This window comes from Homo sapiens, chromosome 11 (genome assembly GCF_000001405.40).
Source record: "Homo sapiens chromosome 11, GRCh38.p14 Primary Assembly".
NCBI lineage: Eukaryota > Metazoa > Chordata > Mammalia > Primates > Hominidae > Homo > Homo sapiens.
In genome coordinates, this window is record NC_000011.10 from 117,428,810 (window position 1) to 117,452,525 (window position 23,716).

At 51.8% G+C, this 23,716-nt stretch overlaps 1 protein-coding gene across 7 annotated transcripts in view, besides 6 other annotated features; it reads right to left on the minus strand.

Moving 5' to 3' along the window:
* DSCAML1 (DS cell adhesion molecule like 1) overlaps positions 1–23,716 on the minus strand; it is a 389,743-nt gene that overhangs the window by 1,038 nt on the left and 364,989 nt on the right. For all 7 annotated transcript variants that reach the window (XM_011542918.2, NM_020693.4, XM_011542917.3 and 4 more), the window contains 13 exons: positions 21,740–21,879; positions 15,077–15,230; positions 11,010–11,127; positions 10,457–10,620; positions 10,076–10,174; positions 9,086–9,274; positions 8,313–8,600; positions 6,835–6,990; positions 4,632–4,662; positions 4,329–4,447; positions 3,543–3,695; positions 2,725–2,919; positions 1,913–2,224 (listed from right to left, as the gene is read on the minus strand). In XM_011542918.2, the coding sequence (XP_011541220.1) occupies positions 1,913–2,224; positions 2,725–2,919; positions 3,543–3,695; positions 4,329–4,447; positions 4,632–4,662; positions 6,835–6,990; positions 8,313–8,600; positions 9,086–9,274; positions 10,076–10,174; positions 10,457–10,620; positions 11,010–11,127; positions 15,077–15,230; positions 21,740–21,879 (2,118 nt within the window). The remainder of the gene's footprint in view (positions 1–1,912; positions 2,225–2,724; positions 2,920–3,542; positions 3,696–4,328; positions 4,448–4,631; positions 4,663–6,834; positions 6,991–8,312; positions 8,601–9,085; positions 9,275–10,075; positions 10,175–10,456; positions 10,621–11,009; positions 11,128–15,076; positions 15,231–21,739; positions 21,880–23,716) is intronic.
* Positions 599–1,277: an enhancer, noted in NCBI's record as "H3K4me1 hESC enhancer chr11:117300124-117300802 (GRCh37/hg19 assembly coordinates)". NCBI's record gives its function as "activates a minimal SCP1, AML or CMV promoter by ChIP-STARR-seq in naive H9 embryonic stem cells {active_cell/tissue: H9 hESC(naive)}" and the evidence as "EXISTENCE:reporter gene assay evidence [ECO:0000049][PMID:30033119]".
* Positions 1,278–1,955: an enhancer, noted in NCBI's record as "H3K4me1 hESC enhancer chr11:117300803-117301480 (GRCh37/hg19 assembly coordinates)". NCBI's record gives its function as "activates a minimal SCP1, AML or CMV promoter by ChIP-STARR-seq in naive H9 embryonic stem cells {active_cell/tissue: H9 hESC(naive)}" and the evidence as "EXISTENCE:reporter gene assay evidence [ECO:0000049][PMID:30033119]".
* Positions 1,956–2,633: an enhancer, noted in NCBI's record as "H3K4me1 hESC enhancer chr11:117301481-117302158 (GRCh37/hg19 assembly coordinates)". NCBI's record gives its function as "activates a minimal SCP1, AML or CMV promoter by ChIP-STARR-seq in naive H9 embryonic stem cells {active_cell/tissue: H9 hESC(naive)}" and the evidence as "EXISTENCE:reporter gene assay evidence [ECO:0000049][PMID:30033119]".
* Positions 6,566–6,615: an enhancer, noted in NCBI's record as "active region_5571". NCBI's record gives its function as "activates an Ori minimal core promoter by ATAC-STARR-seq in GM12878 lymphoblastoid cells {active_cell/tissue: GM12878}" and the evidence as "EXISTENCE:reporter gene assay evidence [ECO:0000049][PMID:35858748]".
* Positions 8,900–9,874: an enhancer, noted in NCBI's record as "H3K4me1 hESC enhancer chr11:117308425-117309399 (GRCh37/hg19 assembly coordinates)". NCBI's record gives its function as "activates a minimal SCP1, AML or CMV promoter by ChIP-STARR-seq in primed H9 embryonic stem cells {active_cell/tissue: H9 hESC(primed)}" and the evidence as "EXISTENCE:reporter gene assay evidence [ECO:0000049][PMID:30033119]".
* Positions 13,747–14,727: an enhancer, noted in NCBI's record as "H3K27ac-H3K4me1 hESC enhancer chr11:117313272-117314252 (GRCh37/hg19 assembly coordinates)". NCBI's record gives its function as "activates a minimal SCP1, AML or CMV promoter by ChIP-STARR-seq in naive and primed H9 embryonic stem cells {active_cell/tissue: H9 hESC(naive and primed)}" and the evidence as "EXISTENCE:reporter gene assay evidence [ECO:0000049][PMID:30033119]".

Sequence of the window (23,716 nt, forward strand, 5' to 3'; positions counted from 1 at the left end):
TCACAGAGGCAGAGGATGTTACAGAGAGTCATAGCCCTCTGGAAGCAGCTCGTTCAGCCCCCACCCCATCCCCTGCCCCCAGTCTTCTCTCTGATTTGGCATAGGGGCCCCTCCACTGGGGGGCAATAAAGAGTAGCGGAAAGGTCGGGTACTTGGCCCTTCTGAGCCTTCGTTTCCTTATCTGTGAAGTGGGGATGATCTTACTTCCCCACAGGATTATTGTGAGGAGCGAATGAGGTGAGGGAGGTAAAGTGCTTTGCTACAGTGGCTGGTGCAGATAACAGCTGCCCAGTACATGGATGCTTGTTGTTCAATGGTCACTAGAGGCTGGTCAGCTTCCGGTAGTGGAGAGCTCACTACTGCTAAGGACGAGGATGTCCTAATGGCTCTGGCTGGTGGAAAGCTTTTCTTTACCCTGAGGAGGAAAGGAATATCATTCCCTGTCGCCTCCCCACCATGGAGCCTGGTTCTGTTCTCTGAGGTCTCACAGAGTAAGGCGTTCCCCTCTTTCCCATGGCAGCCTTCCAGATGTTTGAAGTCAGCTACATGTCCCCTCTCCTCCCCCTCGGTCCCCTCTTCTCCAGGTGGAAAGTTCCTAATTTCTTTTTTTTTGAGACGGAGTCTCGCTCTGTCATCCAGGCTGGAGTGCAGTGGCATGATCTCGGCTCACTGCAACCTCCGCTTCCCGAGTAGCTGGGATTACAGGCACGTGCCACCATGCCCAGCTAATTTCTGTATTTTTTTAGTAGAGATGGGGTTTTGCCATGTTGGCCAGGCTGCTCTGGAACTCCTGATCTCAGGTGATCCGCCTGCCTTGGCCTCCCAAAGTGCTGGGATTACAGGCATGAGCCGCCGCACCCAACCTAGTTCCTTATTTCTTAAACTGCCTCCATGTGACTTGCTTCTAAGACCTCCACCGCCTGACCCCCCGTGCTCCATGGGCACCCTGCCTGCAAATGGGCCTCTTCCCCCGGGGAGCTGGGCCAGGCATTTTCCTTAGATTTTCTTATTGAATCCTCACGACAGCCCCTAGGATTGGTTAATACCTGTCTGCACTTTACAAGTGAGGAAACTGAGGTTCAGAGAGATTAAATCATTTGCCTAAATTTGCACAGCTAAAAGGGGTGGGGGTGTCATTCAGGGTCACAGTCTCCACAGTCTTTCCATTGTTCCAGGCTCTTCTTTCCATGACCCAGAAAGCCCCGCCCCCTGCCTCAATTAGCATGGCCAGTGCTAAGCAGACCAGACTGCATTGTTTGATAGTCTGGGCTTTGCACGCTGTGACCCCAGCATCTGCTGATAGACTCCCCCTGCTGATCCTAGCCCTGCCCTGCCAGCCTCTAAGGGCATATGCTCCGGCCAGGCCCGTGGGGTCAGATGGTTCCCAGCCAGGCCAGGTCACTGCCTACTGAGAGGTATGACCATGGTGGGTGGAGCTGCCAGGATTGTTTGTTTGGGTCTGGATTAAATTCAAACAGCATTGAGACCAGAGGCCCTTGGGCAGCTGACCCTGAAGGGATCTGTTTCCATCCTGGCACAGCTTCAGATTAAGGGGATGCTCACTACCGAATGAATGAGGCCTTACAACACGCTGGGGATGTATATCATTTCTAATGCCCATTATGACAATGCAAAGTAGATACTATCGTTGGCATTTTACAAATGAGAAACTTAAGGCCACAGAGGTTAAATGACTTGCCCAAGGCCACAGACATAGGAAGAGGTTAAGCCAGGATGTGGGCCCTGATCTGCCTGCTCCTAAGTCCTTGCTGTTGGTACCACCCTGCACTGCCAAGGAGCCAAGCTGGGCTGGCATGATCCTGGTGCTGGCAGAACTAGATCTAGCCAGGGCTCATGGGGCTGGGGCCAGGGGGCGGGGGGGCACTGCCTGGGAGGTGGTCTGAGCACTCACTCTTGTTGGCCCGGTGAGGGATGGGCACAGCCACGTTTTTGCCCCGGTCCGCATCCTGGGGCTTGGGTGGTGAGGCGGTAAAGCGGCAGATGCCAGGCTCTGAGGGTGTGCTCATGGATGTCATGCTGTCGGCGTTCTCGTTGGTGCCTGTGGTCATCTGGTCAGAGGAACTGTCAGAGATGAAGCACTCGGTGATCTCAAACTTGGCGTGCTGCAGCTGCTCCTCCAGCTTGGCATGCTCATAGGCCCGGGCCAGCTCCTCGTAGGTGGAAGAGGCACTCTCAGTGGACACCATGCTGTTCCTTCCTTTGTCTGGGGAGTTAAGAGGAAAGGGGTGGGTTACGGGGAGGAGGGTATAAGTGAGACTGACTGAGCACTTCCCCTGCCCGTAACCCCAGCAGCCATCTGTAAGTCTGGCCATGGAGGGCACCAGGCTGAGAAGATCCCGTGAAGGTGGCAGTGGTGGCAGAAGTAGGATCTTTGGCTCATGAAGGGCAGAACACCTTTCATTCTTGAAAATAAGCAACCATCCCCTGGAACATTCAGCCCTTTCTCCAATGAACATCATGTGTACCATTTTCTCTGACAGTTTTTGGGAAAGCAAAATTAACTCCCTGACTAAGTAGAGCTCAGTGAGGTCAAGTGTTTTTGTCCCAGCTGCACAGTGGGTCAGTGACCAGCTAGACATGAAACTGACTTGTGCCTTGGGCCCCATGAGCTGGTGGGTAGAAGCTGGGAAGAATAGAAGGTGAAGGTGAATGATGGGGAACTGGGGGGAGGTGTTCAGGATGCCAGCAGGGCCTTAGGCACACCTGTGTCCTGGGACAGGCTGGCACTGTAGCTGTCACTCTCAGTGACCGTGACACCATGCTGGGAGCCCACGGTGCGCCAGTCGGAGGTGAGGGTGCGGGCAGGTGTGGAGGCCTGGCACTTGGTCAGGGTCCACTGGCTTGAGTACCGGTTCCGGGTGCTGTGGGCTGACTTCACATTCTTCCTGGACACTGGATCTGCACAGACAGAAGCAAGAAATTGCATCCTCCAACCAAAGGCACCCAGGCTTGGGCAGCTGGCACTTACCAGAAAGGGCAGGGGGGAGCAAGGGAAGAGGCAGATGCAGCCACAGAAGCGCCCTTGGGAATGCTGCCTTTCCTAACCACATCGCTGTCCCCAGAGGAGAAGAGCAATCGAGTCAAGGTTGGGGAGGGGGCAGTGGAGGGCATTCTCCCCGCCCACCCCATCTTTTCCTTCCACCTGGGGGAGAATGTGATGTCCTTTCCTGCTGCCTCCTGACTGTCCATTCATTCCCTACAGTCCTTGATGTGTTCTATCCTATGTCCAGATACACGGTGCTAGAGATAGAAAGACCCTTGGAGAACACGAATACCCAATACTCTCAAAATTTCTAGGTAAGGAAACAGGCCCAGAGAGATAAAGTTAGTGATACGCCCAAGGTCACAGTTAGTAAATCTGCAGTTGAGGTCTCCAGACGCTCATTCCAGTGCTTTCCATTTTTGCATTCTATTCCATTAAGCTCCCTCCTCCCTTTAAAAAAAAACACCACCTCTGTGTCATGCTATGCCCAAGCCACCCCGGTTGGGAAAAGGGCTGTCTCCCTGGGGATAATGCGTACTGGTTCCTGGCCGGATGTCAGACATGTCGATGAGGGGTCCTGTGCTCTGGATGAGGGTTGGGTGGTGCAAGGAGACGCCAGTACAGAAGCTCTGTGGGTTGACAGCTTGGCTGAACTCAGCATCTGTCACAGGGATGGTGGCCTTGTCATCTCCTGGGGAAAGAAGGACAATTACTGGGAGTCCTTTACAATTGTTTTTTAAAGCTCTTTTGGATGTGACTGAATTTCTCTTTGTCTTTATCCAATGTGTTTTTTGTTTGTGGATTTGTTTGTTTGTTTTTTTGAGACAGGGTCTCACTCTGTTGCCCAGGCTTAATTGTGATCACTGCTCACTGCAGCCGCCTCAATCTCCTGGGCTCAAGCTATCCTCCTACCTCAACCTTCTGAGTAGTTGAGACTACAGGATGTGTCATGCCTGGCTATTTTTTTTTTTTTTTGTGGTAGAAATGGGATCTCACTATGTTGCCCAGGCTTGTCTCGAACTTCTGGCCTCAAGTGATCCTCCCTCCTTGGCCTCCCGAAGTGCTGGGATAACAGGCATGACCCACCAACCCAGACTTTATCCAATGTTGAGTCACAGAAAGGCCAGCAATTCCCTCCGTTGGACAGAGGAGGAAAATTAGCCCTTGAGAGAAGCCACAGTGAGTTCTAAGGTTGTTGAGTGGTTGATGGGGCTACTGCCAGAACCCTGGGCACTGCCATGAGGGTTGGTGTTTGACTTCCATGGGTTGTAGCCTGGGGAAGCACACCCAGCAGGACAGGGAACTTGTGGCACCTGTCACTCACCCAGTTGCTTGATGCCTTCTTTGTCCTCGATGAGCAGCTGGACCCTGGGGATGTCAATGTGTAGCCGTGGGCCCTGGGGTGGCCCTTTCACAGGGGTGTCAAAGCTTCTATTGTTCTTGCTGTGGGGAGAAAGACTGGAGGTGGTGGCTCAGCAGCCATAAGGGGTTGGGGAAGGGGGCTCTGCAGGACAGTGGGATTTTAGAAGCCTGCCTCCTATTCTGGGAGTTCAGAGCGAGGCTCCTGGGTCCTCCTCAGGACAGAGGGGAGAAGGGAGGAGAAAGGAAGCAGCTTGGTGATACCCACCTTATCAACATTTCTGCCAAACTCTTTGCATCTGCAAAACAGTAGAGGGAGAGGAGGGCTGGGTGAGAATGAAGTTTGAACAGGATGACAATGGGAGAGGCATGGGAAACAAGGTGGAGAATTCCTTAAAATGGGGCCAGGGCTGGTCTCCTAAGAAGCAGAAGGAGAAATGTAAGGACCTACAAAACAGCCCAAAACATGACGCGGTTTCACTGCTCCAAATTCAGGATTTGGCTCAAGTCTGTTTTCCTTTCTTCAAATTTTATCTAATTGAGAGAACCTTCCCAAAGCACTGGGGGCATAGCAAGTGCCTCATCTGCTTCATGAATTGACTCTGCTTAAACACAACACCATAACAGGCTGGAAATGGATATCAGTGGAAGATTTATCTTCAGTTATATCTTGTGGAGAGGAGAGAGTGGAGGATGTAGTAGAGGTGGTCAATGGGAAGCCCCAGATGATTAAACTCTCATATCAACCAAGAGGCTTCACTTCCTCCTCTGGGGCCTCTGTCCCCAAAAAGTCCATGGATGGATTTTGTGGCCCCTGCTTTGTCTCAGAGGAGCCTTGAATAAGATCAGGACTCTCAGGTTAGGAATTTGGAAGAGAGGAGAATTAAAGGGCCTAGTTAATTTATTAGACCCCTGATACCTGAGAATGAGCTGTCAGAATGAATCCCAAATAGCTGTATGCATGCATCTAACCATCCAATTGTCTGGCTATCCATTCACCCATCCATTGATCCATCCATCCATCCATTCACTGATCTAGCCATCCATCCATCTAACCACCTACCATCCAATTATCCATTCATCCATCCAACCAACCATTAATTCATCATCCACCTATTCAACCATCCATCTGTCTATCCATCCACCCATTGATTCAACCAGTAATCCATTCAACCATTCACTCATGAATTCAACATCCATTCAATCATTCTTATATTTATATGTTAAACCTTACATCCAACCACTCCTTTAACCATTCACCCAATCATTCCACAATTCCAATAGTTTTTCCATCCAGCCATCCATCCATCTTGTCATCCATCGATCTATCAGAATAGTCATCCATCCATCCAAGCATTTGTTCAATCATCTACCTATCTGTTCAACTATTCATATAATCATTATCTGGCCATTCAACAATCCATCAATTTATCCATCCATCCACCCATCTATTCATTCAGCCTTTTATTCAACCATCCTTACACCCAGCCATCTATTCAGCCATCCAGCCATCCTTCTATCTATACATCCTTCCATTCAACCATTTATTCAGTGATCCATTCAACCATCCAACCATGTAACTACTCACCACCCATCTAGTCATTCAATTATCCACCCAATCATCCATCCATCCATCCATCCTTCCATCCATTCATCCATCCAATCATCAACCATCCATTGAACCATCTATTCATCCATTTACCCAATTCCTGAACACAATAGGGAGCATTAGTCATTCCCTCTTCTGTGCTACTATTGTCTCCTGGCTCCTCACATTAGATGATAAACTCTGTAAGAGTATGGCTTGGCCGTTCTTTATTGATCTCTATAGTCTTGCAGTATCTATGATGAAGCAGACCCAATAAAAGTTTTCCAAATAAGTGAAAGTATATTTATGAAGCAACTAGTAGGTGCCAGACACTGTGTTAGGCTGTGGGAAAACTGAGGTAAATCAGACCCATTCACAGTAGACTGTGGCATCAGGTAATGGAAAAAGGGGATAATATTCAAAATATTTAACACCTGACATGGTGCAGAAACTGCCCAGTTAGAACTGAGCATTGTCCTAGAGACTACCTGCAGGTCTATTCTTTAGTGAATGGGTCCTAGGAAAGTTGCAGGGATCCCGTGAGAGGGGATGAAGCATCCAGTGTGGAAAGGAGCAACATCTGTTTACCAACCAACATGGAAATGTTTAAATATTTAACAATCAACATGGCTTTACCAGTGTGTACCTCTAAATATTAGCCCTGACTGGGGCAGGCACAAAGTCTTGGGGGCATAGAGGAGGAAGTGGTGAACGAAACCTTCTGAACTAAGGAGGTTTCAGAAAGTCTGAGTGGCTGCTCCTCCTTCAAGGGGACACAGGCACTCTGTATCATCCAGATGGTGCTGTGAGCCAGGGAAGGGGGGGGACAATGTGGCTGAGAGCCAACACCCCCTCCTGGAAGGCCCATAGGAAGCTCCCCCACCTCGGAGTCGCTTCAGCCGTTTCTCCTTCCTCTTCTTGCGTACGATGAAGAGCAGTGCCACCCCCAGTGTGGCCAGGATGACAGGGCAGCCGATGGTGAACAGCTTCTTCACATCATCCCCTTCACCTTGAGCAGACTTGATGGGTGGAATGGTGCCTGAATGAGGGCAAAGAATAGAATTAGATGTCCCTTATGAGCCAGGTGCTGTGCAGAACATCTCATGGGTGGGGCAGTCCTCTGACCTCTCTTGCTGCCCTTGGGCTCTGACCTCCACCTCCTGGCACAGAACCCTGGACTTCCCCTCTGCTCCCCAAATTCTGGTCCTATCAGGACAGCCATGAACAGTTGTGTAGTTTTAATATTGCATTTTATTAACAAAGTCCTGGTACTGTTGTAGAATTAGCCTAAAGTCTCCTGGAGTTAGTCTCTCGCCTGTTGAAGTTCAGTGCTCATTCCCAGAGAGTGGATTGATGGGCTTAAATTCTGATATCCAGCTGGGGTGGGGAGAACAAAGGGTGAAGCATGGTAGGGAGAAGTCTGGGCAGTGGACCCTGGGTTCTCTTCCCCAGATGGAGACAAAAACCACTACAAACCCTACATTCTCTCCCTGCTCACCCCTCCTGGGGGCCATATCTGTTAACCTGGGGCTCCTGTGGGGAAGCATGGCAAGTTCTCCTGCTGACATAACCCTCTGCCAAGCCCTGACCCTTGCCTGTTTCAGAGCTTTGCTTAAGAGTCACCTCCTTCATGAAGCCTTCCTTGCTTGAGTCCATCCCCTTTTAATACTGCTTTTATTCTGTTTCCTTAACACATAGGTAGACTTGTGACAATGGGCTTCTATGAATTCAGCCTTCCATGTCCCTTCAATGGATGTGTGTGTGTGTGTATGTGTGTGTATGTGTGCACGTGTGTATGTATCCCCATGTGGCAGATGCAGTTAGGAACTGGTAGTATGCCTTTTCTGTGGATCCTGGAGTCTCCATGTTCAAAAAGATGGTGGCCACTCAACCCTCGCAGGACTCCAAGAGAGCAAGAAACAAATCAGTACAGGGTTAAGCCACCAGGTTTTGGTATTTGCGACTGCAGCATAGGCTGTCCCCTCCTGGCTAATATTCCATATCAGCAGAAAGTTCTTAGAGGTCAGGACCTCAACCACACCTCTACCTCCCTTGTCACCTCCCTGAAACAATGCACAGTGATTGAGGACTGCAGCTTCAAAGACTCTCCATCTTTGGTATTACTGACCTATGTGTCTGTCCATCTGTAGTGGCCATTGGTGCATCTGCCCGCTTACCTGGCTGCAACAAACCTGATGTCCCCTTTGTCAGCCCCTTCACCTGCAGGCCAGCATTTCCCCCACCTGCATTCCTGCCTGTTTTTCTATTAGTCTGTCTCTTTATGTATCTGCCACTCTGCCCACTTCCTTCGCACCACCCTGCTCCAGCCTCTGTACCATCCCTTCCACCCTTGCGACTCACTGCCATCGTAGTCCAGGGTGGCGAACTGGGCTGTTTCATTGCCGCAGCCCGCACTGTTGCAAGCCCTCATGCGCAGCTCGTACCACGTGGCCTCTCGCAGTTCCGTCAGAAACACCTCCCCGGAGCTGTTGGCCCGGAGGCCCTGCCAGGCCCAGGTCCCCTTGGGCCGGTACTCCAGAACGATGGCTGTGATAGGGCAGCCCCCATTGTTCCAGCCCTGCAGGTTAAGCCGAGCATGCGTGGAGTTGATGTGGGTGAAGAGGTGTTGGTCTTTGCTGAAGGAGGGCTCTGGCAGGCCGGAGGGAGAGAGAGAGGTTAGAGAGATTTGGTGGGAGGCAGGACTGGACTGGGCTGGGCTGGAAAGGATTTCCCTGGGGCAGCTGGGATGGCAGTGGCTCCAGGAGAATACATGTTTGGCACAGATGGGGTGGGGAAGCCCCAGGGCGCAGAGGAGGAAGAGGAGGGGAGGGAGGAGAGGGAAGAAAAGGGCAGGGCCTGGAGAGGGGCCTCAGTAGAGGAGGAAGGGAGCTGGGAAGAGGCAAAGGAATGCCACCTTCGGCCACCCGGTGGGGAAGTGGAACTAGTTTTTCCTAATGGGATCCATCGGGACACTGTGGTGACGGGAAGGAGGCTGAGGCTCCTCCCTTCAGTCTCCCTGCATCCCTGGACCCCTCCTTCCCCACCCCAGCCACCTTACACCCCATACCTGGCCCCTCTAGCCCACCCTCCCTGGGCCCATCGCTCCTTCCCTGCCCCAGTGGCCTGGGCCTCACCCCGCCCGTGGGTCTTGGCCTCGATGATCTCGCTGATGCGCCCAGAGCCCACGCTGTTCTTGGCTGCCAGCTTCACCTTGTACCACGTGCCACACTTGAGGCTGTCCAGCTTGAAGGAGCGCTCGCTGGAGCTGATGAACACATCCTTCCACTCCTCGCTGTTGTCCACCGAGTACTGTAGCACGAAGCCTGCGGAGGGTAGGCCTGATTCAGGTGGGGGCAGGGCAGGGCAAGGCAGCAGAAGCCCAGCCTCAGGTACCCCAACAGGGGGCTGGGCTCCAGGCAGGGGGCAGAGTCAGGCTTTTGGTCATTGGAACGGGCATATGCTCCTTAGAAGCAAAATTGGAAGGATCAGCCCCAGTCAACTCTCTATGTTAAACCAACCAATCAACAAAACACTGTGAGGGCCTGGGGTCCAGCCCCCGGCGGGTCTGACGCTGTCACTTTGGTTCTAGTGTTAGGGGTTAGCGGCAGGTTCGGGAGGGGAGAAAACCAGAGTTGTGAGGCTCACAAGGGGTCCTGTCTAGATCTTCACTAGGATCTAGACACGGCCCCCTGAGCAGCAGGCTCAGAAGCACCTGGGGCGTGTTAGAAAGGCAGGTCCTCAGCCCCAGCCCAGAGCGCTGAGTCAGAACTGCATTGTTACAAGGCCCCTTGGTGACGCAGACGCACGCCCACACTTGGAAAGCACTGATCTAGTAGTCCATTTGTCTACTTCGACAGATTGGGAAACCCAGACTCAGAGAGGGAAACAGCCTACTCCAGGGTCACACAGCTCACAAGTGGCATTGGAGGGGCGGGCGTACTAAATCCCAGGTGCCTGGGCCATTGCAGTTCCCTTGGCACTTGAGTGACTTCCTTGTGGGTCACTTGGCCCCCAGATCGTTTCTGTCATTTGGAGACAAATGGCAGAAGTGGGTGAAGCCCCTTCCCTGCCCCGGGCCCAGAATTCCTTCCCCTATCTTCCCCCGCATCCAGACCCCTCCTCACCTCGGATGGAGCTGCCCCCATTGTCACCTGGAATCCAGGTCAGGGTGATGGACGAAGCTGAGGTTTTGGAGACAGTGAGGCGGGGCTGGTCCGGGGGAACTGTGAGGGGAAAGCCACCACCCCTTAGCACAAGGGCGGACCCTGTGATGGGGTGTGGGGAGTCCCCCCGTGACGGGAAGGTGCTGGCTCTCCCACACCCTCACTCCCACTCCCACTCCCCAGCTCTCCTGCCTCCCCTTCCATGTGCACCTCTGTTTCTCCAGAGGTCTGTCTCTCCCTTGGTTTGGCTTCTTCCATTCGATGACCCTCTCGCATGATGGAATCCCTACCCTTTCTCCATCCCTGTCCCCACCTGGGGTCACCTGCCTCACAGAGCCTCACCTTGCACCAGAAGGTTGACGATGATGGTGTCAAAGCCACCAGTGTTGGTGGCCGTGCACGTGTAGTAGCCAGAGTCCTCAGCCTTCACTGCACGCAGCAGCAGTGTGCCATTGGTGTGGATGAGCCGGTGCCCATCCATGGACACTGGAATGGCCGAGTCTTCACTGCCAGGGGCGAGGATGGGGCGGGTGGGTCATGTCAAGCACCCCTTCCTCCTGAGGCCCTCCCCCCGGTGTGTGACAAAGAGAGCTGGGGGTGGAAGGAGGCTCGCCAGGGAACGCCGGGTTCTTGGGGCTTTGCTCAGCACTCCCTGGGGGTATGAGGTAACCCAGCCTCTTTAACCATCCGGGGAAGGGAGGTCCTTGGCTCCCAAGAGGGGAGCCAGGAGGCCAGGCCTGCTTGAGAGAGCAGTAGCAGCACACCCTGCAGGGCCTCTGCAGGCCTGGAGGCAACCGGGTCACCAGGCAGGAGGGCCCCAGACTCTTCTCCACACCGCTCTTCTACTATATCCCTCTTTGGGGCCACCCCATCCCTCCACTGTCCCGACACACACCTGTCCTTGGTCCACTTCACAGCAGGGGCTGGATCTCCCACTGAATTGCAAGGCAGCCGAACATCTTTCATCCAAGGTGTTGTCACGGTGCCCCCAAAGGAGATGATCTTTGCTGGGGCTACAGGGAGGAGAGGATGAGGGCCACTCCACTTCTACCCCTGCACAATATCCTGGCCTCCTTCCTTAGGGCCCCCTGGATTTACAGTTCAAATCCTCCCTCCCCGATCTGACCTCCACCTTGGGCTTTTGGTGAGGGGTAGGTGTCAGGGAATATTGGCTGGGAGACATTGACTCAAGAAACATTGATGAAATACCAGTTATGGTCAGGATCACAAGAGGCTCTGAGGATTCAAAAAATGAGTATGATTTATTCCCTGTCCTCACGTTGATCACCATCCAAGAGGGAGACAGATACTTAAGGAAAAATTATAACGGGGCAAAATGCTATGGTAGGTGCAGGCACGAGGAAGCCTAGGGGTGCGAGGCAGGGGGAATGAATGCTGCCCATAAGTGGGCAGTGGAGGCAACGGCCGGGAATAGCATCTGGAATTGGAAGCTCTGACTTGAAGGTTAAGAAAGACTTTATAAGCAGGGAAGGAGACACATGTCAAGAAGAGGGAATAGCACTAAGCACAGACATGGAGACCTGAAGCTCACGGCAGCTGTGAGGGTTTGCAAATACTCTGGGGTAACCAAAGCTTGAGTCCAAGGGGACGGGCAGAAGTAGAATCTTGGGGGCTTTGTTGGCAGGGCCAGGAGACTGGACTCCCTCTTAGAAAGCCGCCACCAGAGGGTTATAAGAAGTGGTGTTGGACAGGCCTGGTGGCTCACGCCTGTAATCCCAGCACTTTGGGAGGCTGTGGCAGGCGGATCACCTGAGGTTGAAGTCAGAAGTTCAAGACCAGCCTGGCCAACATGGCAGAACCCTGTCTCTCTACTAGAAATACAAAAAATTAGCCGGGCACGATGGCAGGTGCCTGTAACCCCAGCTACTCGGGAGGCTGAGGCGAGAGAATCGCTTGAACCTGGGAGGTGGAGGTTGCAGTGAGCCGAGATCATGCCACTGCACTCCACGCTGGGTGACAGAGCAAGACTCTGTCTCAAAAAAAAAAAAAAAAAAAAAAAAAAAGGAGTGGTGTCCTCAGCCGATTTCAGATGCATCCTGGCTGCTTGCAGAGGATAGTTTGGTGGAGGGGGTCCTGGAGGACACAGAACGTGACAGGATGGTGGCCAGAATGCAGGCTGGAGGTGATGCGTAGCAGTGGGGAGATGAGGGGCTCAGAGCAAGAGCTGACAAAACTTAGGGTCTGGCTGGTTTGGGGGAAGAGAGCGGGGAGGGAAGGATGGCTCCCAGGATTCTGGCTGGGCCACCAAGGTGAGTGATGGCACCCTCATGGGAACAGGGCACACTGAAGGAGGGGCAGGCTTGGCAGGAAGGACCGGATGGCTTCATCTCATACTGAGTCCACAGTGCAGCCACAGCTGTAGCTAGACCACAGGTGGGTGCGTGTTCTGGAGCACCAGAGAGATGCCTGGACCAAAGACGCTGATCTGAGAGTCAGCAGGCATGATGAGGCCACAGGAGGGGATGCAGACTGACAGGGAAGTGACCAACTCTAGGATCAGCATGCACAGGCACAGAAGAGAGGACGGGAGTGTCCCAAGGGTGGTGGCGGAGGACTGGGTCAGCAGCATCACAGAAGGTGCGGGGCCACAGGTGCCCAGAGTGTGGTGGGTGGGTAAATGCATCTAGTGCCTGGGAGATCGCCAGGCCCAGATTTAAAGGAACCAAGTGCCCAAGTGCCTCAGAGAGTAGAGGAGGCCCATGGAGCTGGGGCCCTTCTTGGGGTGGAGGGAGAGTGAGAGTGAGGGAGCAGCTGAGAGGTTCAGGTGCATGGCGTGGGGGTGGGCTCCTGTGCTGGTCGTGCCAGGTGCCAAGGGGCTCTCAGAGCAGGGGAGTTCTGGGGTCTGCTTGGAGCAGTGGGGGCACCAGACAGGCCCGGCAGAGGGGTCCACATGAAGACGGCCTCCATGCGGGGGCGGTGAGAAGCCTGGGGGCTTTGTGGGTGTTCTCAGAGTTTCTCCAGAGATCAGGTTCCAGACCTGGTTTTGCCACAGGCTGGGGTTGGCTCCCTGAATCTGTGTCTCAGGGTGTGTGTGCATATGTGTGTGTATGTGTGGGTGTGTATGTGCATCTGCATGTGAGTGTGTGTATGTGTGTGTGTGTGTTAGTGTATGTGTGTGCGCAGATGCGTGTTTGTGCACATGCATGTGAGTGCATGTTGTGTATGTGCATATGTGAGTGTGCACGTGTATGCATGTGTGTATGCGTGTGTATATGCGTATATGCATGTAGTGTGTATAGTGTGTATGTGTGTGCATGTGTGCATGTATTAGTGTGTCTAGTGTGTGTGTGCGTGTGTATGCATGTGCATATGTGTGTGCATGTATTAGTGTGTATAGTGTGTATGTGTGTATATGTGTGCATATGTGTATGCATGTATTAGTGTGTATAGTGTGTATGTGTGTGCATGTGTGTATGCATATATTAGTGTGTATAGTGTGTGTATGCATGTGTGTGCACATTAGTATGTGTATGTGCGTAAATGTATGTGTGGGTCTGTGTGTATAAGTGTGTGCGCGTGCATATGCATGTGTTTGTGCGTGTGCACATGTATGAGTGTGCAGTGTGTGTGTGCGTGTGTGTGTATGGGGGAAGGGGGCAGGAGTGGTTGTCTTTCCCACCTCACAGGGCGGCTGTGAGGTGACGCTGTGTGAATGTGTTCTAGGAAGTCCACAGCTCTCTAGGACCGTGTTTATTTAATGCCCCCAGGAGAAGAGGCCAGCCTTCTGCAAAGATGCCCAGCCCTCACACTCCTGCCTCTGGGCCAGTGCTAGCTGTTCTGGAAGGGTGATAGGCTTTAGGCCCCTTCCCTTCCTGAAGAAGAGGTTGGTGGTAGGGGTTAGGGGGTGGTAGGAGGTGCTGAGGCTGTGTGGAAAGAGCCCTGACTTGGCGCTGGGAGAGCTAGCTCACTCCTTCCCGGTTGTCTTTGCAGCCCATGCCACTCCTGCCTCAGGTTGCTCAGCTGTGGAATGGGTCAACAAGCCCTGCTGGCAGGGCAGGTGGAAGCCCCTGGCCCACCGTAGGCCCTCGATCAGATGCTGGCTGGCTCTGAGCCCGCGGCAGGGTAGGGCTTGGGGCTCTTGTGTTTGGGCCAAGAGAAGCTTGAGTGGCCCCGGTAGGCTGGCCAGGCTGCGCAGGCACCACCTCCTCTCGTCTGGGCTGCGGTGGATAAGAGAGTGGGGGAGTGAGGAGGGGCCCAGGGAGGCCCAACGGCAAGTAGAGGACCTGCGGTCCTGGGCTAGTTGTGGCCAGTTCCTACGCCCCAGGGAGAGGCAGACGCTCAGCCTTGCAGCTCTACCTGCGCGGCTGCTACAGCTTGCCCTTGGGATGAGGCCTTGGAAGTGTCATTCCTCTGAAAAGTGGGGGTGCAGCCCCCATGGCACACCCATGTCCCGGTCAGAGATTCAGTGGGGCACTCCCTAAGAGGGTCTGATTCTAGCCCAGAGCCTTCCTTCACAGCACGCGCTCCGTAAAGGTCTGCGGATCGCAGGAATCCGCCATCGCTGGAATCACCCCTGCCCGGTGTCCAGTTCAGCACGGGGGCTCTCCTTTGAGCCTCAGCTGCTCTGTGGAAGCAGCACACCCGGCTGTAGCCACCTCTGGAGGAGCTGAGCATTGGGACAAAGGCCCGGCTTTGAATTGGGGGTAGAGGCGACTCCCCCTTTTTCAAGCTGGGAGTAGGGTTTGGACTCGGGAACTGAGTGCACCCTGTCCACCCGCCCCAGGCAAGAGCCGGAGGCAGCCTGTTGTGAGGCTTTGCTGGAGTCAGGGGGCAGCAGAGGCCCAGTCTTGGTGTGTGCGGGAGGCAGGCGGGTGGCCAGTTCCTCACAGCTGGGTGGCAGATAAAGCGGAGCAGGCAGAGACCCTGTCTGGGGAGAACCAGGATTCTGTAAGGGAGCTTTTGGAAGTGTTTGCCCCTCTGCCACAGCCTCAGGCTTCTCACCCTTGCCAGCAGGCTCGATGGTCACCTTCTCGCTGCTGTTGCCCCGGCCGGCAGAGGTGACGGCGGCCACCCACAGCAGATACTGCTGACCGCGGTTTAGGTGGGCGATCCGGTAGAAGAGCTGCTCTGGACTCGTCTCGTACTCGCTGGGAGCCTGCGGGGCAGAGGCAAAGAGGCTCTAAGAAGCAGAACTGGGGCCCTCCAGCGTCCAAATCTTCCTCAGTGCCCGGGGCTCAGAGGAGAGGATGGCGGGGTCGGATGCGAGGCAGGATTCTGTCCTATTTGCCCTTTCCAAGTTTTAGAGATGCAGCGGACAGAGTGTGCCCTGGGTTTGGTCCCTGGGAGCTGATGGGCCTGCCTCGCGGTGTTGCTGGGTCAGCCTCAGTTTACCTCTTTAACTGATCCACGCTCTGGCAGCTGTGGCTCAGGCCAGGGGATGTGAGTACTTTAGGTGAGGGACGGGGTAGCCAGGAGAAGGGAGAATGGGGGACAGGGGGTCCCAGGAAAGCCCTGAGGAAAGAGTCTTCAGGAAGAAGGCAAATGACTGCCTCTGCCTGATGAGGGTTGGAGACAGGCTCCTGCAGCCTGCTCTGGCTCCCGTCACCTCCTAGCCCTGCCGTCTAATTACCACTCCTGCATTTTGCAGGCAGCACGCCCGCCCGTCCAGGGAGGAGGGGGCGGGAGAAGGAACTATGAAAGCTTTACTGGGTAGCACTTTATTAATGATTATTAGTGGTATAGATCACCATATATATTTGTAGGTTATACAAATCTATAAAATTTTTTTTAACAAAATGACAGTTTTGACAAGTTGCCAACAAAACAATATCGGATCCCAGTGGTTTTACCAGTTGCTTTGATGAAAAGATTATGTTGCCTTGGAAACCAGAGGCTCAGATATTGAAATGAATTTGAGAAGGAGCTTTTGATAAGCGCTAGTTTGCAGACCTCCTGTCAGCCTCTTCCCTGGCACGGGCGGGATGGGGCTGACTTTCATTTTATTTTATTTTTTGGTCAGCCGCAGGGAAGGGAGAGGAGGACAGCACCAGGGCCCCTTTGAAAACAGAGCGGAAGTCCAGGGAGGGAGAGCAGCCCCAGAACAGATGGGGGCCCGAGGCCAGAGGGAGCTAATAATTAGTTATCTCTGCAGTCACAGGATCTTGCACACACACGCTCACAAGCACACACACATGTAGACGCATGCACACATGCTGAGGAACAGACCTCCAGGCATGTATGGGCACAGAGGGACATTCTTCATGCCCCATAGTGGGGCTGAGAGGCCCAATAACTTATAACAGGAGGAGACATCCTTTTTGGCCCCAGGCCATCTGCAGGGAAATGTTAGGGGAAAAGGCACAGGCATCTCTGCAACACACACACACAGCTCCCTGGCATATTCCTCCTGCCTCCCTCGTGGGGGTCTGGCCTTGAATCCAGGAGGTCCGGGGGGGCAGGTGCAGAGCCACCCTTGAGCCCTGGTGGTTGGGAAGCCCTTTCAGGCCACAGCACCCTGGGACTGGTGTGCGTATCTGTCGTTGATATGTGCTTGAAGTGTGGGGTAGTGTAGTGGCTTCAACACCCTCCTGCCCTTCCTCCTGGGCATACAGCCCGTAAGGTTGCCCATAGTTTCTGGACGCTGTTTTCTCTCTTGCAAACTAGGGAAGCAATACAGCTCTGCCCAACCTGTGTGTGACTGAGGCACAAGGAGGCAGGGGTGTGCACGTCCTTTGTAAACTAGGACATATTCTTCTCCGGGCTTGTTTTTGGTGACAGTACAGGAACGTATGTGTTTCTATGTACATGTGCATGTGTGGAGAACAGCTGAGTGTATGTGCTTGTGTGCATCAGTGTATACCTGAGTGTATATTTGTGCCTACACAGGCAGGGCAAGAAAGTTTGGCCTCTTCTTGTAGGTATTAGCATCCAACCCAGATACTGGGCGCTTTCCTTTTAACCTGGACACCCCGTGAGTCTCCTGAAATCATGTTCAAAAGCACACAGACATAGCCCCAAATAAAGTTCCAGTGGATCAAAGGTTTTTGAAAAAAGGCAAGCTATGAAAGAAGAAACTATAGGTAAATATTTACCCATTTTTCTAATCATAAAAATCAAGGCAAAATCATAAATGGAAATGATTGATAAATTCAGCTTCTGTAAAAAGAAAAACTATGATACATCAAAAACAGAATCAAAGGCTGGGCATACTGGCTCACATCTGTAATCCCAGCACTGTGGGAGGCCAAGGCAGGTGGATCACCTGAGATCAGGAGTTTGAGACCAGCCTGACTAACATGGTGAAATCCCCTCTCTACTAAAAAATACAAAATTAGCCAGGCGTGGTGGCGCATGCCTATAATCCCAGTTACTTGGGAGGCTGAGGCAGGAGAATCGCTTGAACCTGGGAGGTGGAGGCTGCAGTGAGCTGAGATTGTGCCATTGCACTCCAGCCTGGGCAATAAGAGTGAAACTCTGTCTCAAAACAAAAACAAAAACAAAAACAAAAAACCAGAATCAATAGGAAAGCAATGAATTGGCAGATACTTGCAACTTATATGACAGAAAATGGCTATTATCCTTAATATGTAAAGAACACTTATAAATCAATAAGAAAAATATGAGAAACCCAAACAGAAACCTGGACAAAGGACGTAAATTGACAATTACCCAAAGAAGAAAAATATAGCCAATAAACATATACAACCTAACTAGTAACCAAAGAAAGGTACTTTAAAATAAGGCACATTTATAAAAAATCCATCTAACAAAAATAAAGCAGAACAAATCAGAAAACAAATGTGGGATCAGCATAGGTGCAAAGGACAATACTGTTGGCCACTCACCCTGCTGGTAGAAACATACATGGGTGCAAATGCTCCGAAGGGCAATTTGTAAGTCTGTATGCAGAACTTTAAGAATACTTATTCTTTGTGACCCAGGAATTCCTATAGAAATTTACCCTAAGAAAATATTAAAATATGTGCATAAAGATTTCTGTGAAGGATGTTCATTGAGACGTAATTTATAATGGTGAAAATTTCAAAGACACATTAAATACAGAACAATGGGAGACTGGTTAAGTAGATTCTGTATAAACAGCCACTCAAGATCATGTTTTAGGTCAGGTGCGGTGGTGGCTCATGCCTATAATCCCAGCACTTTGGGAGGCTGAGGAGGGCGGATCACTGAGGTCAGGAGTTCGAGACCAGCCTGGCCAACATGGTGAAACCCTGCCTCTACAAAAATACAAATATTAGCCAGGCGTGGTGATGTGTGCCTGTAATCTCAGCTCCTTGGGAGGCTGAGGCAGGAGAATCACTTGAACCCGGGAGGTGGAGGATACAGCGAGCTGAGATGGTGCCACTGCACTCCAGCCTGGGTGACAGAGCAGGGCTCCGTCACATACACACGAAAAAATGTTTTAGAAGAATATCTGATGGTGTAGGAAAGCACCAACAGGTATTCCATGAAAAAAGCAGATTGCATTACGTTATGTATAATATTATTTTAATTTGGTTTAATGAAACACCTCAAAACCTGTACTATGTGTACAGATCAAAGACTGGAAGACTATATACCAGTGTTTATCTGTAGGAAGTACATCACCAGTGTTTATCTGTAGGAAGTACAAGTAATTTTTACTTTCCTCTCTATTCTTTTATATGTTTTACAGATTTTCTATAATAAAATTGCATTATTTTTATAATCAGTGAAAAATGTATTATATTATTAGTAAAATGTCTACCAGGATTCAGTGTAGCTGTGGCCATCCCCAGGGGTAGCTTCCCTAGAGCCAAGGCCATACACAGTCTTTTCTGAGGATGCCACAGGTATGGTTCATCCGCTCCCGCCAGCATGTGTGAGCACACACAGTCTCAGGTATCTGCCTATAATTCCAGGCTCATGCCACAGTTTTGCACTGTCACTGATACGCGCGTGTGCCCTCACCCCTAGCACCCTCTCCCAGAGCTGTCTTTCATAAATGAGTTTGTGTTGAAATTGTTTGGAATTTGGAATATATTTGTGCAAAGTGATCACGTCACACACAGTGGTTAGGTCCCCAGGTCCCTCACTAAGTTCAGTTTCCCCCCAACCTTTGACCCCAGTCCCCCTACAGGGCTGAACTGAAGTTCTCATCACATCAGCAGGACTTGTGTGATACTGTCTGATGGCAAATCGCAAGACATGAAGAAGATGGAGGGAGGGTCCCAATGTCTCCATCAGCAGGAGGAGGGGACGGGGACCAGGAGCTCTGTTCCGGAGCCCGGGAGAGGAGCCTGAAGCCTGAGTTAGTGAGGAGGCGTGGCTCCCGGACACCAACCTTGGAAAGACTTCATTATCAGAGGAGGAAATGACTGCAAAAGTCCAGGCTAGAGAATGACTACCCTCTCCCACCAATTAAGGAACAGAAGCTTGCCCAATATCTGAGGCTATAGAATTGCTAGGCTGCTACCGATTCATTCTTCGAATGTGTATTCCATGACCAGGATGTTCCAGGCACAGTGTTCAGCCTCTGGGGACCCAAAGATGAAAAGATGCTGCCCCTGTCCTCGTGGGGGCCTCAGAAACCAGGGTGGGAGACAGATATGTGAACAGTGACTGCCTTCAAATGCATTCAGTGTCTGACGGGAGTGAGGAACGTGCCACGGGAAGAAGCCGCGGGGCAAAGGTGTGGAGGTGTGAAGAGGCACAGTATTGTCCAGAATTGTGAACAGCTTAGTGTCCTGAGAGCCTAGAATGTGTGTGTGTGTGTGGGGGGTGGGTAGAGTTGGGGGGAGACGGGAAAACAGAGCAGGACACATGGCTGAAAGCATTGCCCAAAACACACCAAGTGTCTGTGCTGATGTGGAGTCACTGGAACTCTTATCCCCTGTGAGTGGGGGTGTGATTGGCATGAGCACCCAACAATGGCAGGCTGTTCTCAGTGAACACCTGCAAACTCTGTGACCTAGCGCTTCCTCTCCTAGGCGTACACCTGGCAGAGATCCATGCCCATGAGCACCCAGAGACACATACAGGAATGTTCACAGCAGCACCATTTGAAGAGTTCCAAACTGAAAACTGCCCCAAAGCCTTCCATCAATGGATACTAACGGCTAGCCCAATGGATTAATAATCATAACATATGCACACAAAAGCTATACAGAAGAATGAATGAGCTATAACCACATACAACAACGCGAATGAAATTCAGGAATTCAAAATAATGTTGGGTAAAAGAAGCTGGACAAATGGTATGATTCCATTTACACAAAGTACAAAAAGAAGCAGCACTAATCTATGCTATTGAGGTCAGGATGATGGTTACCTGGGAGGAGGGGCAGGCGGGAGCTGGAAGGGGGCATGGGGATTCAGGGTGTTGTAATGTCCTGTTCTGTGCTCTGGGCGCTGCTGCTTGGGTGGGTTGTGAAAATTCGCGGAGGTCTACAGTGATGACGTTTGTGCACTTTGCTGCATGTGAGGTAGTGGCCGTGAGGATGGAGTGGGGGGCCGCAGTCAGTGGGCTTCCCCTCTGGTAATAGAACTCTGGTCTCACTGGCGGGGAGCTGGGCCACCTACCACTCAGAGGGTAATTCAGAAAGACCACAGGAAAGCAGAGAGTATAGGAGGAGATGATGACACAATTACTGAGCAATTTCAGGGCAGCTTTCCTGGTGGCCATAAGCTTATCTGCAGATCTCAGGCTGATGCCCAGTTGTTGATGGAGGGAGGAGCAGGCCTCCTGCTCCTGCTTCTGCTCCTTGCTTCCGTTCCTTGCTTCCAGCCCTGGGCACATCTTCCTGACAGTACTCCTGCCCCTCTAGTGTGCTCCCCTCTGCCATCCACCTCCACTAGACTGGAAGCCCCTTGAGGGCAGGTATCTGCTCCTGCTCCCGTACCTAGAACAGGCATTCTCTATAGTAGTCACTCAGCAGGACTTGGTGGTTGACTGGCTGGAGATGATGAAAGAGGCAGAGGGGAAAATACATATGATGGGATATAGGTGCATATCCCACTGCACCCATCCCCATCCTCCCTTCCCTCTCTGTGGGGCCCCTCAGAGCATCAGTGGAAGGGCGGCTAGCCCCTTGCCCTATGTCCTGCCTGGGGGCTGCCCCCTCTGCTCCCAGGGTTAGGGCAGATATCGCAGCCTCTCAATCCTCTCCTCTCGCCTGAGCCCAGGCCCTGGTCGAGAGACGCCTGTGCCTTCTCTCGGCTTTCCCCCGTCTTTCCTCCTCCCTCAGCTTGCTCCATGTGGAGGCGCTTATGCAGGGCAGAGCTCCAACAGCACCTCCAAGCCCAGACCAACCATGTTGAAAGATGGTTCATTCCCAGAGGGCACAGACCAGCCTGGGGACCTGCTGGGAGCTTCCTCTGAGCCAGAGCAGAAGAGCCGAGGCTGACCTCCCTTCCACCCTGCCTGGTTGGGCATGGCCCACCTGACTCAAAAGAGCCCCCAGTGTTTGTGACAATCTTGTGGCCTCTGGAACAGAGGACTGACCCAAGATGGACACTGAGTAAGGCTTCGGCCACTCTGGGTGGCCAGTCCCCATTCTTATCTATGAATCCAGGCAGAAGCTCAGATACAGGCAGCCTCAGGGTTTGGCCTGGAAGCCGGCTGATGTACAAGGTCCCTTTTCTTTTCTTCCATCCCCTTCATCATCTGGCCCTGAACTCACTTACCGGCTGGCCAGACCCGGGGCTGGAACAGAAGATGGTGTACTTGCGGATCACCCCGTTGGGCTTGGTAGGGGGGAGCCAAGACACAACCACACTGCTAGCTGATGAAGGGACAGCTTTGATGCCAGCAGGGGGACCTGGAACTGAGCAGGGAGAAGGCCTGGTCAGTTGAGAGAAAGCAGGAGCACAGCCTTTGGGGAAAATGACAGAGTTGGGAGAGGGAGGCAGATCAATCTGGGAGAGCTTCTTGGAGGTGGCATCCTTGAGCTGTGGTTTAGAAGGGGAGGGTCCATCCAGCATGGTAAACAGGTGGGAGGAGAAAATGATCATTTTGGAATTGTAACGAAGTCTCTGAAATGGAGGCCCTTGGAGTGCCAGCTTCAGAACTGTTTGGCCAGAACCAAGGACTTAGGATAGGCAAAAGAGAAACAGAACCTATGAGGAATTCATCTTGATCCCTCTGACCTTAACCCCTGACCCTCACCCCCTTACTAACTGTAAGCATGTATTTAGGGGGAAAATACCCGGCACCTGTCACTTTCCTTTTTGGCCTGTGAGTTTCTTGAAGCTGGGACCACAACCTGTTTTCTGGCATGAGCCCAGGGCATTGCCCTTGGAGTGCTGGCTGGGCCCTTTCTGGAAGAAAGTCTACCTTAGAAGTCACTAGGAAATCCATCCTAAGTGGATTCCAACTCTTATGGACTCTGATGTCCCCTTGCCCTCCTCTCTGGGCCTGTCTCTCCTAACTGGGACCCCAGGACTCTGCCTGGGAGACTGGAAGCTTCCTGCTCTCAGCTCACACTCCCTATCCTCATCTCTCCATTGTATGGTTGTGTACTTGTTTCCTTTCTAGAAACTTTTATGATCTTTTGAGGACAGTGATAGCATCCCATTCAATTTATTTTACCTCTCTGAGCCTCCGTTTCCCTATCTATACAATGGAGATAAGAACTCTATTAAAAGGTTGTATTGAGAATTAGTGCTAATTAAAGTACTGGGCAGGTGCGGTGGCTCATGCCTGTAATCCCAGCACTTTGGGAAGCCAAGGCGGGCGGATCCCCCGAGGTCAGGAGTTTGAGACCAGCCTGGTGAAACCCTGTCTCTATAAAAAATACAAAAATTAGCCAGGCATGGTGGTGTGTGCTTGTTTTCCCAGCTACTAGGGAGGCTGAGGCAGGAGAATCACTTGAACACAGGAGGCGGAGGTTGCAGTGAGCTGAGATCACGCCATTGCACTCCAGCCAGGGCAACAGAGCAAGACTCCGTCTCAAAAAAAAAAAAAATAATAAAGCACCTAGCACAGTGCCTATTGCATAAGACACTCAATAAATTGTAACGATTATTATTTTTGCATTCTGTCTCTAACTCTCAGCTGATGGCACCTACCTCAATGTTTTCTTTCCTAGTCAATCATTTGGGGCTAAATAAAATAACTAGATACAGCGTCATCATCCTTCTGGGGGCCTGAGTCCAGAACCTGGGAATTGTTCTTGACTCCACCTGTCCTCCCTGCTACACAGTCCTGTGTGTCACTTCTGCTGGATGTCTCTGCAGCTGTGGGGTAAACGAGTCCATGGATGGCCACTGGGGTAAGTGCACTAATTGGAGTGTTCAAATCTCTATCCTTGCATACTTTTTTCCTATCAGTTATTGAACGAGGTGTGTCAAAGTCTTCCACTGTGGTTGTGAATTTGTCTCTTTCTCCATGTAATTCATCAGTTTTTGTTTTTTATATTTTGAGGCGATATTATTGAGTACATTCAAATTTAGAATTGTTTTATTTGCCTAGTAAATTGAGTCTTTTATCAGAACAAAGGGTTCCTCTTTATCTCTACAAATTCTTTTTGCCTTATAGTATGTCTGACACTAATATTCCAGTTTTCTATTAGACAGTTTGAATGATATGTCTTATTTTTTCCATTCATGTTGAACCTTTCTATACCCTTATGTTTTAGACATCTCCTGTAAACAGTACATATT